This window comes from Homo sapiens, chromosome 14 (assembly GCF_000001405.40).
Source record: "Homo sapiens chromosome 14, GRCh38.p14 Primary Assembly".
Classification (NCBI taxonomy): Eukaryota; Metazoa; Chordata; class Mammalia; order Primates; family Hominidae; genus Homo; species Homo sapiens.
In genome coordinates this window covers 105,259,216-105,272,023 of record NC_000014.9, presented here as the reverse complement: position 1 = coordinate 105,272,023, position 12,808 = coordinate 105,259,216, and the positions used below count along the sequence as shown (strand labels likewise).

At 54.0% G+C, this 12,808-nt stretch overlaps 1 protein-coding gene across 11 annotated transcripts in view; it reads left to right on the top strand.

The window, feature by feature from the left end:
* Nucleotides 1-12,808, top strand: part of BRF1 (BRF1 general transcription factor IIIB subunit) — a 106,304-nt gene that overhangs the window by 43,566 nt on the left and 49,930 nt on the right. The window lies entirely within an intron of this gene.

Sequence of the window (12,808 nt, the reverse complement as noted above, 5' to 3'; positions counted from 1 at the left end):
TTGTGCGTGGACACCGTGACTGCAGGCGGTGGGCGGGGAGGCCGCCGACCCTCAGCGGTGTGCAGCTTGGCCTTGTGCGTGGACACCGTGACTGCAGGCGGTGGGCGGGGAGGCCGCCGACCCTCAGCGGTGTGCAGCTTGGCCTTGTGCGTGGACACCGTGACTGCAGGCGGTGGGCGGGGAGGCTGCCGACCCTCAGCGGTGTGCAGCTTGGCCTTGCGTGGAGATCCAGTGTCTGGTGTTCTCTTGCACTGGTCTCTGTGCATCTGGTCCTGTGCCCACTGCTGCCATCTGCAGACACACACATGGGTCAGGAGCTGCCTTCGGCCTCTTGACAGGGAGCCCAGAGCCTTCCAGCCTCCTCTGCTCTGTGCTGTGCTGTCCACACCTGCTGTGCACCTGCATCTTTTCCCTGCTCTCTGGGGACTCCCCGCTTCCTGGTCCACACCCTCCTCATCTTGTGAGGTGCCTCCTGCAATGGCTCCCTGGGAGAGGGACCTTTTCCGAGCTGCGCCCCTCTGAAGGTGGTCCCCCTCCCTGCCCTGTGTCTGGTGGGCGTGGCGTGCCCGGCCACATGTCTGCCTCCCAGCCTGCGCCCCTGCCGTCGCCTTGCCTCCAGCATTCTCACTGGGCAGTTCTGTGGCCCTCTGGCTCCTGGCCCTTGCTGTGCAGCTGCGGGGCTTCAGCTCCTTGCCTCTAATCTCCACGTTCAGAAATCTCACGGCAGTGTGAGCCCATCAGGCCTTTGCTCTCTGACAGCTTCCTGTCCTGAGCTTCTGTTGAATTCGTCGTTAGATGTGTCTCCCTTCTTCTCTGTTACTCTGCCTGCCACACTGAACCCATGTGTTATCTCATCCTTTTTTGCACGTGGCTATCTTTTTGCTTTGGGACAGCACCTGAACTTTAGCTTCCAGCAGGCTGTTTCATTTCTTTCATGTTTTTCATCTCTAAGAGCTCTGGGTCTTTTCCGAATCTTTTTTATAATCTCCCGTCTTCCTGAGTGTGGCATCTTCTCACCTTGAGCTCTTTTCTGTCTTGGTCTGTTTTTCTGGTTGGTCCCCCTCGAGGGGTGTCCTGGGTGCCAGGTGATCCTGGTGGCCTGCTTCTCTTTTGAGTGGGGTGCAGGGAGGGCTCCTGGAGATGACGAGCTGGTAGCCTGCTGACGGTGCCTCTGGCCAGGCAACCCTCAGTATCAGGATCTTTCATTAAAATGTTACTTTTTTTTTTTTTTTCCAGACAGGGTCTTGCTCTGTCACCCAGGCTGGAGTGCAGTGGTAGTATCTCAGCTTACTGCAACCTCTGCCTCCCAGGTTCAAGCAATTCTTGTGCCTTAGCCTCTCGAGTAGCTGGGATTACAGGTGTGCACCACCATACCTGGCTAATTTTTTTGTATTTTTAGTAGAGATGGGGTTTCCCCATGTTGGCCAGGCTGGTCTCAAACTCCTGGCCTCAAGTGATCCACCCGCCCTGGCCTCCCAAAGTGCTGGGATTATAGGCATGAGCCACTGCATCCAACCCTGAAAATGTCCTTTTAACATTTTGAAATTTGGGCTGGGCATGGTGGCTCACGCCTGTAATCCCAGCACTTTGGGAGGCCTAGGTGGGCGGATCACGAGGTCAGGAGATCGAGACCATCCTGTCTAACACCATGAAACCCCGTCTGTACTAAAAATACAAAAAAAATTAGCCGGGCGTGGTGGCAGGCTCCTGTAGTCCCAGCTACTCGGGAGGCTGAGGCAGGAGAATGGCGGGAACCCGGGAGGCGGAGCTTGCAGTGAGCCGAGATCGCGCCACTGCACTCCAGCCTGGGCTACAGAGTGAGACTCCGTCTCAAAAAAAAAAAAAAAAAGTCCTTTCAACATTTTGAAATTTGTCATTTCTGCGTAAAAGTGTTTAAAGCACACGTGTGCCTTTAGGGACAGGGATGATGCAGAGTGCCCAGGCAGCCCACTGCAGGGCGAGAGACAGAGCCCACGCCCGCGTCCCTGCCCGCCCCGCCTGCTGTCTGCTTGCCCCGGCTCCACCCTGGGGTCCCACTGAGAGGCCTGCTCCGATCCTGCTCTCTTAGAAGCAGACCAAGGTCCTGAGCGAGAAGCTGAGCAGAGCCCAGGGTCAGCCCATGGCCCTGCCTCCCTTGTGTTTGTAGGAGCTGTGTGGGGACTGCTGTGGAGCAGGGCCTAGGGTGCAGGCCGGCACTGGGACCCCAGCGTCAGCAAGGTGGGGTGGAACCACGTCCATGCTGCTGCCTCACTGGGCCTCCTGTGGGGGGGACAGATGCCCTGGGACATGGGCCTTCATGGGGTGATGACAGGCAGGACGGAGAGCAGTCCTGTGGCACTGCCGGGGCTGCCTCTGAGTCTGGCAGGACCACCTTTAGCCACAAAGTTCCCACACGCTCCAGCGATCCTCCTACTAAGTGTGTGCCCAAGGGAAAAGAGTACCTGTGTCCCCACCGAGGCTCACGCACAGTGCTCACAGTGGCAGCATCCAGGAAGCCACCCCGTGTCCCCCACGCATTCTAAAATTAGATCCTGGTGGTGGTTGCTCAGCTCTGGGGATTTACGAAAACCCACTGCCCGGTGCACTGTGAACAGGCAGGTTTGTGGCACAAACTTGTACCTTATAAAGCTGCTAAGGACAAGACAGCTTGGAACAGGACTGTGCTCACGGGAGGCCGCACTCTATCCCCTCTGGCTGCTGGTGGCCTGGTGGGGCTCCCTTCAGCATCCTCAGAGGATGCTTCGGGCTGGTCTCGGGTAGCTGTAGCCCTCACTTCCCAGCCCACCCCTGCTTTGCCGGCACTTTAGAGGGAAGTGGGTCAGGCCAGGTGTAGCATGTCCCGCTCTGCCCTCCCTTCAGGTTGCGGGCAGCACCGTGCCCTAGGCCTGCCAGCCAGAGCCCCCAGACCCATCCTGGACACGTCTCCGTCTCTCACCGCCCTCCTTGTTTTCTCCTGCCCCTGTGCCTTCTCCCTCCCTGCTGACCTGCATTGGCTCTGGCCACTGTCCTCGCCTCCTGCAGCCCCAGCTGGCTGGCTGGGCTCATGTGCTGCCTCAGTTTCCTCAATAGCTCCACCCACTTCCCTTCCACAGAAAATCCACCCAGGAGAGGGTGTGTGCAGCCAGGCTCTCTTCTCCGAGACAGGGCTGCTTGGCCCAGCCCTGCTGCCTGCACAGCTCCCGTCACCTTCTGGACTCGCCACCTTTAGCCAGGGCGCAACAGCACCCACCACCCCACCTCCACCCTGCCGTCAGCAGGACGTGGAGGGTCCTGTGCAGTGAGCTTACGTTGTGGGGTGCATGGCCCCCACCCCAGGAGAGGCCCCCCAGGATCCTCCTATCGTATCGTCCAGCCCATGGGTGGGACCAGTGCCCTGAGCCCAGGGCTGGATACAAGAAATCCTCTCTCAGAAGGAACAAGGGCTTGATTTAAGAACATCCAAGCTTATTCCTCCTTCTGCCCACCCTTCATTGTTGCCCGATCCTCAGGTGTGTCCACTATCACCCCGAAAGTGCCGGGGGCTGTGCACACACACCTCCTCTCTTGGCCCCGTAGCCTGGTGGCTGACACAGCCAGTCCCGGATTCCTGGAGGAGGAACGGGGTGCTGCTGAGTCCCACTGAGTCTGGCAAGGCCCGGCTGACCCTAGGCCTGAGTCTGCTCCTGGCTCCCAGCCCAGGGAGGCTGCGTGGGCAGCAGGGCTGAGACACGGGACCTGGACATGCCGGGCAGAGACTCAGCTGGAATGAGCACCTCTGCCATTGTCGAGCAGGTAGTTTGTGGCCAGTGTGCTTTTCCTGGCTGTGTGTCTCGACTTGTTATTGCAGCTTTTGCCCACAGCTGGTTTGTGGGTCTTTGACATTTGTTCCTGTCCAGCCAGGCTGCCCTAGGCCTGCATGTGAGAGGGCATCTTGGGATGGTGACAGGCTGGTGAGCCCTAGAGGGCGTCAGAGCCCTGGGGCCAGCACTGTGGATGGTGCCATCACCTGTCCCCACGTAGGTCTGCAAAGAGCATGCCCAGCTTCCATGGCCTGCCAGCCTCAGCCTCCATGGCGTGCCTGGCCACGCGTGGGAGCAAGGCCTCTGCCGCCAGCCGCCACACTCCCTTCAGACCCAGCTCCTCTCTCAGGCTGCAGAACCGTCCGTTCAGGTCAGCAGGGGCCATGTGCATTCAGCTTATTCCATTCTGGGGTCTGGGATGGGCTTTCAGAGCCCACACTTCTCTGCCCCCCTGTTCTGGCCAGCACCTCCTTCTGCCACCAGGCCCCCTTGTTCCTGCTCCTCTCCCTCTGCTGCCTTCTCAAGGACAGGGCATTTATAACAGTTTAAGTGGTCAGAAGAAGGTATTAGGATGGCTGATGAGGGAATCAAATGGTGCACACATCATTAGGCATGAAGACGTTGGCATTTCAGGTCAGGCACAGTGGCTCACGCCTGTAAATCCCATCACTTTGGGAGGCCCAGGCAGGAGGATTGCTTGAGTCCAGGAGTTTGAGACCAGCTTGGGCAACATGGTGAAACCCCGTCTCTACAAAAGAAAAAGAAAACAAAAAAAAAAATCCAGCTGGTGGTGTGTACCTGTGGTCTCACCTACTGGGGAGGCTGAGGTGGGAGGATCGCTTGAACCCAGGAGGTCGAGGCTGCAGTGAGCCATGATCGCACCACTACACTCCAGCCTAGGCAATAGAGTGAGCCCCGTCTCAAAAAAAAAAAAAAGTTGCCATTTCAGACTTCCGAAAGGCTGACCTGGAAACACCGGCACACCCAGCGTGGGCCCATGTGGGCCCCTTGTCGGTGGTGTCTTGTTGCTGGCGTAGCAGAGGTTTAGCTGAGTTTTGTATGTTGACATTATTAATACATCATTCCTACCAAATTCAATTGTCGATCTTACTGTTTGAGTTTTGGAGTCTCTCCTTTAATGCACACAACTGTGTCTGCTGCTCATAATGCCAGTTCTGCTTCTTTCTTTTCATTTTTTTCATGAGACAGGATCTCACTTGATCACCCAGGCTGGAGTGCAGTGGCGCAGTCTTGGCTCACTGCAGCTTCTGCCTCCCAGGCTCAAGCGATCCTCCCACCTCAGCCTCCCGTGTAGCTGGACTACAGGCATACACCACCACCCCTGGCTAATTTTTGTACTTTTTGTGGCGACGGGGTTTTGCTGTATTGTCCAAGCTGGTCTCAAACTTCTGAGCTCAAGTGATCTGCCTCCCTCAGTCTCCCAAAGTGCTGGGATTCTAGGTGTGAACCCCCCGCCCAGCCTTGGTTCTTCCTTTCTAACCCACACACCTCTCATCTGTTTGTCCTGCCTTTTGTATGCCGAGGACTCAGCATGGTCCTGGGGAGGGAGATGTGCCTGGCTCTCTCCTGTCCTGGGAGGGGTGTTTTCTGCCCTTCGCTCTATGTATCTGCGGTAGACTTTTGTGTATAGGACTCTTTATCAGCTTGAGGATGTTACCTTGCTTTCTAATTTTCCAAGAGTTTTTGTCATGAAAAATACTGAATTTTATCAAACACCAATGTATTTATTGGTATGATTTTTTCATGTACATTTTCCCCTTAATCTGTTACCTAACGTAAATAACACTGATTAATTTTTTAAAATTTTTTAGAAACAGGGTCTTGCTCTGTTCTCCCAGGCTGTACCACTGTGGCACCACCCTAGCTCGTTGCAACCTCCAACTCCCTGGCTCAGGCGACTCTCTCGCCTCAGCATCCCGAGTAGCCGGGACCATAGGTGCACTAGAGATGGGGTCTCACTGTATTGCCCAGGCTGGCCTCAAACTCCTGGGTTCCAGTTATCTTCTCATCTTGGACTCCCAAAGTGTTGGGATTACAGGTGTGAGCTATTGTATCTGGCCTGTTTTTTCTAACATAAGCACTCGAGGCTATAAATTTCTCTCTAGGTGAGTTTCGTTACATCACACGGTTTTTTGTTTGTTTTGTTTTTTTTTGAGACAGAGTCTCACTGCCTCACCCAGGCTGGAGTGCAGTGGTGCCATCTCGGCTCACTGCAACCTCTGCCCTCTGGGTTCAAGTGATTCTCCTGCCTCAGCCTCCCGAGTAGCTGGGATTACAGGTGCATGCCACCATGCCCACCTAATTTTTTTTTTTTTTTTTTTTTGAGAGGGAGTCTTGCTCTGTCGCCCAGGCTGGAGTGCAGTGGCATGATCTCAGCTCACTACAAGCTCTGCCTCGCGGGTTCACACCATTCTCCCGCCTCAGCTTCCCGAGTAGCTGGGAATACAGGTGCCCGCCACCACACCTGGCTAATTTTGTTTTTGAATTTTTAGTAGAGAAGGGGTTTCACTGTGTTAGCCAGGATGGTCTCAATCTCCTGACCTCGTGATCCATCCGCCTCGGCCTCCCAATACTGCTGGGATTACAGGTGTGAGCCACTATGCCTGGCCCATGCCCAGCTAATTTTTGTATTTTTAGTAGAGAGGGGTTTCACCATGTTGGCCAGGCTGGTCTCAAACTCCTGACATCAGGTGATCTGCCCACCTTAGCCTCCCAAAGTGCTGGGATTACAGGCGTGAACCACTGCACCCGGCCCACTACCTGCTTTTAAGAAATATTTTTGTGTTTGGATTTGGCAGTTTGACTCTGATGTACCTAGATGTGGTTTTCTTTGTGTTTATCCAGATTATTTTTTGTAGAAGTTCAAGGATTTGTGACTTGGCTGGGTGTGGTAGTTTATGGGTGTAATCCCAGCGCTTTGGGAGGCTGAGGTGGGTGGATCACTTGAGGCCAGGAGTTTAGGACCAGCCTAGGCTAATAAAAGAAATTAGCCAGGTGTGGTGGTGCACACCTGTAGTCCCAGCTACTCAGGAGGCTGAGGCAGGAGGATCACTTAAGCCCAGGGGTCAAGGCTGCAGTGAGCTGTGATGACATCAGTGCATCAGTGCATTCCAGCCTGGGCGACAGAGTGAGACCCTGTCTCTAAAAAAACAAACAAACAAAAAAAAAACAAAAAAAAGGATAAGTAGAACTTATGACTTGATGTCTTTTGTCTACGTTGGAGACATCTTGGGTAGTATCTTTTCAAATAAAGTTTCTGCTCCACTCTCTCTTCCTGTTCTGGGACTCCATATATTAGCCTTTCTCTCTTTTGCTCATCCTTTCTTTTGCTGTGTCTAATCAGGTGTTGAACCCATCTACTAACTTCTTAATTTTTTTTTTAAGAGATGGAATATCGCTGTGTTGCCCAGGCTGGAGTGCAGTGGTGCAGTCACAGCTCACTGCAGCCTTGACCTCCCAGGCTCGAGCAATCCTCTCACCTCAGCCTCCATAGTAGTTGGGACTACAGGTATGCGCCACCACACCCACTCAATTTTTTTTTTTTTTTTTTTTTTTTTGAGATGGAGTCTCATTCTGTCACCCAGGCTGGAGTTCAGTGGCACAATCTCGGCTCACTGCATGCTCTGCCTCCCGGGTTCATGCCATTCTCCTGCCTCAGCTTCCCGAGTAGCTGGGACTACAGGCACCCGCCACCATGCCCGGCTAATTTTTTTTTGTATTTTTAGTAGAGACGGTGTTTCACTGTGTTAGCCAGGATGGTCCCGATATCCTGACCTCGTGATCCGCCCACCTCGGCCTCCCAAAGTGCTGGGATTATAGGTGTGAGCAATCGCGCCTGGCCATCAATTTTTTATAGAGATGAGGTCTCACTGTGTTGCCCAGGCTGGTCTTGAACTCCTGGGCTCTTTATTTTTTGTAGAGAATGGTGTCTTGCTATGTTGCCCAGCCTGGTCTTGAACTCCTGGGCAGAAGCTATTCTCCTGCCTTGGCCTCCCAACGTGCTAGGATTATAGATGTGAGCCATCACTAAGACTCCTTTTATTAGAGTCCAGTTCTTTGGTAAGATTCTTCATTTCTTCATAGTTAGGTGAAAGTCATTGATAAGCCAAATAGTTGAATCATTTGTGGTTCTGTTTTTATTATCTTGATTTTCTTTTTGTTTTTGTTCCTTTGGTCTTGTCTTTTGTCATGCTTGGTAATTTTTCATTGAATCGCTGGAATATTAGGTCTAAAATATTACAGAGATGATGGATACTTTTCCATCCAGAGGGAATTTAACTTTTCTTTTTTTTTTTTTTTGAGACAGAGTCTCACTCTGTTGCCCAGGCTGGAATGCAGTGGCACCATCTCTGCTCACTGCAAGCTCCGCCTCCCAGGTTCATGCCATTCTCCTGCCTCAGTCTCCCAAGTAGCTGGGACTATAGGTGCCCGCCACCACATCCGGCTGATTTTTTGTATTTTTAGTAGAGACAGGGTTTCGCCGTGTTAGCCAGGATGGTCTCGATCTCCTGACCTCGTGGTCCGCCCATCTCACCCTTCCAAAGTGTTGGGATTACAGGCGTGAGCCATCGCGCCCGGCCGGGAATTTAACTTTTCTTGAGCAAGCAGAGAGCACGCAGGTAGCTCACTCTGATCCAGTTGCTGCTGGTCCGTCTTGGTTCCCGGCTGAAGGATCGTGGCAGGACCCAGGTGTCCCTTCCTGGCACCTCGGGACTGCAGAACTTCCTGCTCGGCTCTTTTGCCTTTCAGAGCTGACTTCTGGGCTTGGCGGGCCTCAGCCTGGTGCCTGTGGCTCCAGGGGCGGCAGCTGCCGTAAAGGGACTAAGTGCACTGTGCCCTGCTCGCTTGTTGAAGTTGCTTCCTCTTCTCTTGGCAGCTTGGCCCCTCGTGTCTGGCTGGCTCGGAAGCCACTGAACTGTAAACTCTATCTTCCCTTGCCAAGCGAGACTGTGAGCACTAGGCTCCTACTTTTTTTTTTTTTTTTTTTTTGATGGAGTCTTACTCTGTTGCCCAGGCTGGAGTGCAGTGGTGCCATCTCGGCTCACTGCAACCTCTGCCTCCCGGGTTCAAGCGATTCTCCTGCCTCAGCCTCCCGAGTAGCTGGGATTATAGGTGCCCACCACCATGCCTGGCTAACTTGTATTTTTAGTAGAGATAGGGTTTCACCATATTGGCCAGGCTGGTCTCGGACTCTTGACGTTGTCATCTGCCCGCCTCGGCCTCCCAAAGTGTTGGGATTACAGGCGTGAGCCACCGTGTCCAGCCACTTTTTTTTTTTTTAAATGGAGATGGGGTCTTGCTATGTTGTCCAGGCTGGTCTTGAACTCCTGTCCTCAGGCAATCCTGGCCTGGCACTGCCAGACTATGACAGCTTATTAGAATTGGCGAGAATTGGAAGGAGGCCCGAGCTGAGACACTGCACCTTACACTCGTGCCACTCAGCTCCTCCTGGGGCCATCCATGTGCCTGGTTGCATGTGTGTGCTTGAAAGCCAGGGGCTGGGAGCGTCAGGTGACTGCCTGGATAGCAGCTGCATTATCCGTGAGACCACCTCAGTGTGGCTGGGACAGAGCCAGGCTCCCAGCTCTGTGGGAGGCTCAGTCTTCAGAGCAGGGATCTTTGAGAAGGCACCTGGGTACCCTTGAACTTCACAGAGGCCATGCATGATGACAGCGGTGAGGTGCTAGATTATTCAGGGTGTACTGCACACAGGAGCCCACCGTGGGGTGTGGCAGCCAGCAGTGGCTCAGGGATTTAGTCACTGTGCAGGGGATGGGCAAGGCCCAGCAATGACCCACTGGCTCTTCCCTGGAGGTCAGAGGTATCTGGACAAAGGGCAGCCAGCAGGTCTCCTACCCCGCATCAGTCATTCAGGGACTCCCAGAGCACCTGCTCTGTGCCACACCTCCAGGCGGAGGAGCAGGGTGGTCTCTGGGAAGTTCGGGAGGGCAGGGCTGCTCATGACCTAGGCCCTGGGTCTTGATGGGTCCTGCTCTTGGGGTGCTGAGGGCATCCGAGCTCTGGGGTGAGTGACCCCATTCCAAGCTAGGATCCGTCATAGCCCCGTCCAGGCATGTGCGGGGCCTGAGGATGCCCAGTCTGCCTGCCGGGCTCCTGTGTGGGTGCTTGGTCGGCCGCTGAGTGCTGTATGCTGAGTGCTGCCAGGGCCTTGCCCTTGGTGGGTTGGGGCTGGGCACTACTGCTCTACACGGAGCTTCGGCCGGGCCGTGTGTTCCCGTGCCAGGTGGTGTTGGCTGCCGGTGAGGAGCACTCAGAGCAGGGGGGGCCTGCAGAAGGGGAGTGGCACTGGGTAGGGGCAGTGAGCCGTGGGCCGGTGCAGTGCTGGGCATCATTCTCCAGAAGGTGTGGGTTTCGCTCCTTGGTCCTCACGCCGTGTGGGCGCCGCAGTCCCCCTCTCCAGTCCCATGGGGCCGGGAATGCTGGTGTCCGCTCAGGGTGGGGCCCTGCCGGCCCCTGCACTGCTGGCTGTTGTGGACACAGCCCTTTCTGTGGGGCTCTATATACAAGAGCACTTTCCCTCGCTTCTCTCTTTGGGTATCCAGTAAGAGCATTTGTATGTGAGGCTGTTGAGAGAAATTTCTTGTTTTTTTAAGTTTTAGTTCTGCCTTATGTAAATCTCTGTAAACTTTTCCATGTAAGGAAAGTGTGTCTGAGTCAGGACCCATCTGCAGTTTTTCTCCCTGCAAGCATCGTGCAGCCAGCCAGGGTGTGGGCAGCCTCAGTTTCCCCATCCTCTTCACAGTGGAGTGGCCCCTCGCTGTGTTGTCCACAGCTGTGGTGGGGAAGCCTGGTTGGTTCCTGGAGCCGGGACAGTTTGATGGCACAGCAGTGGGGTGCAGGGCTGCACCGTCATGACTGGACCATTTCTGGGCCTTGTCATCTGCTGATGGGAGCCTCGCGTGGGCCTCTGCCGCACTCAGGAATGTCTGGCGCCCTTTGAGGGCATTGTGTCACCTGCCCTCTATTGTGCTCCCGCGTCTCTCCTTTGACTGGCACTCAGCTGCACCGAGCAGAAGACCACCCGGCACAGCGTGGCAGGGGCCAGAAGGGAGGCAGAAAGAGGCCCCAGCTGGCAGAATCCAGGCTTTCGCACCCTGGGGGCCGCAGACAGGGCCTCTTCTCTGCAGACTTTTTTCTGATTCCCAGATGGTCAGAAGCAGCTGCTCAGCAAAAGGGAGGGGCTGCTGGGAGGACACAGGTACCAGCCATGCTGGACACAGGAGAACCTCCAGAGCCCTGGGAGCTCATTAGCTGGGGGACCTGTAGGCTGGGCCCCAAAGGCATTAGTAGGCCCTCCCGGGATTGGCCAGAGGGAATGTGATATCCTCACAAGGGAAGCACATAATTGAGCTTCCATCGTCTGGAAACTTCCCTGAAAGCGCCTGATAGAGCCAGGTGAATGCGGATCAAGTGCCAGGTGATTTTCATTTCAAGGAAAGCAGTAATTCTAACTTCGTTAAATGTTTAATTTGAAGCTCCTTTTAAAAATGTACACACTTATCCCATTGTTTTATTAAGAAAATTTTCTGTGGAGCTTGGTGGCTTATGTCTGTAATCCCAGCACTTTGGGAGGCTGAGGTGAGCAGATCACCTGAGGTCAGGAGTTTGAGACCAGCTCGGCCAACATGGTGAAACCCCATCTCTACTAAAAATACAAAAAAAAATTAGCCAGGCATGGTGGTGCATGCCTGTAGTCCAAGCTACTTGGGAGGCTGAGGCAGGAGAATCGCTTGAACCTGGTAGGCAGAGGTTGTAGTGATCCAAGATTGTACCATTGCACTCCAGCCTGGGCGACAGGGCAAGACTTCATCTCGGGAAAAAAAAAAAATTCGAACACCTGCAAAGTTGAAGTGAATTGTGGAGTCCCCTCGCTCACACCTGTGGTCCGCTCCCCAAAGCTATGCTGCCCTCACCATCTTATTTTTTGGCACATTTCAAGGCAAGTTGCAGACGTCTGTGTACTGCACACAGTCCTTCAGCAGGCAGACCATCAGCTCAATGGGGGTGAGCATCGTTCCTGGGTCTTTTTCTCCTCTGAAGGTAAAGTTGGCTTAAAGTGAGATGCACAGGCCCTAATTGCTCCATCTGGAGAGTTCTGACAAACGGTCACCCGTCAGCCCAGAGCAGGGCTCTGTGGACAGACCTCATGCCCCTTCCAACAGTCCCAGCCCCGCAAAAGGCAACCGCTGTTTCCATTTCCTTCCACTACAGACCAGTTGTGCCTGTTCTAGAATGCCCTATAAATGGAATCATATGATCTGTGCCCTGTCACTTCACATGCTTTTTTTTTTGGTGACAGAATGTAGCTCTGTCGCCCAGGCTGAGTGCAGTATGGTTCCATCTCAGCTTACTGCAACCTCTGTCTCCTGGGTTCAAGCGATTCTAATGCCTTAGCCTCTCAAGTAGTTGGGACTACAGGGGCACGCCACCATGTCCAGCTCATCTTTTGTATTTTTAGTAGAGACAGGGTTTTGCTGTGTAGGCCAGGCTGGTCTCAAACTCCTGGCCTCAAGTGACTGCCCGCCTTGGCCTCCCAAGGTGCTGGGATTACAGGCGTGAGCCCCGTGTCCGGTGGACATGGTTTTGAGAGGCGCCCATGGTGTTTTGTATGGTGAGTGGTATTGCTGTGTGAATACCAGCCAGAGTATTCTTGTATTAATGGACACCTGGACTGCTCCCCGTTTTTGGCTGTTCTGAATGAAGCTGCTATGAACATTTTTCTACAAGTTTTTTTGTGGACATATTTCTTTTTATTTTTAGAGACAGAGTCTCACTCTGTGGCCCCAGCTCAGTGCAGTGGTGCAATCACAGCTCACTGCAACCTCGACCTCTTGGGTGCAAGCAATCCTCCTGCCTTAGCCTTCTGAGTAGCTGGGACAATAAGTGTTTGTCACCATACCCGGCTAATTTTTGGATTTTTTTGTAGAAACAGGGTCTCACTGTGTTGCCCAGGCCGGTCTTGAACTCCTGGGCTCTGGTGATCTGCT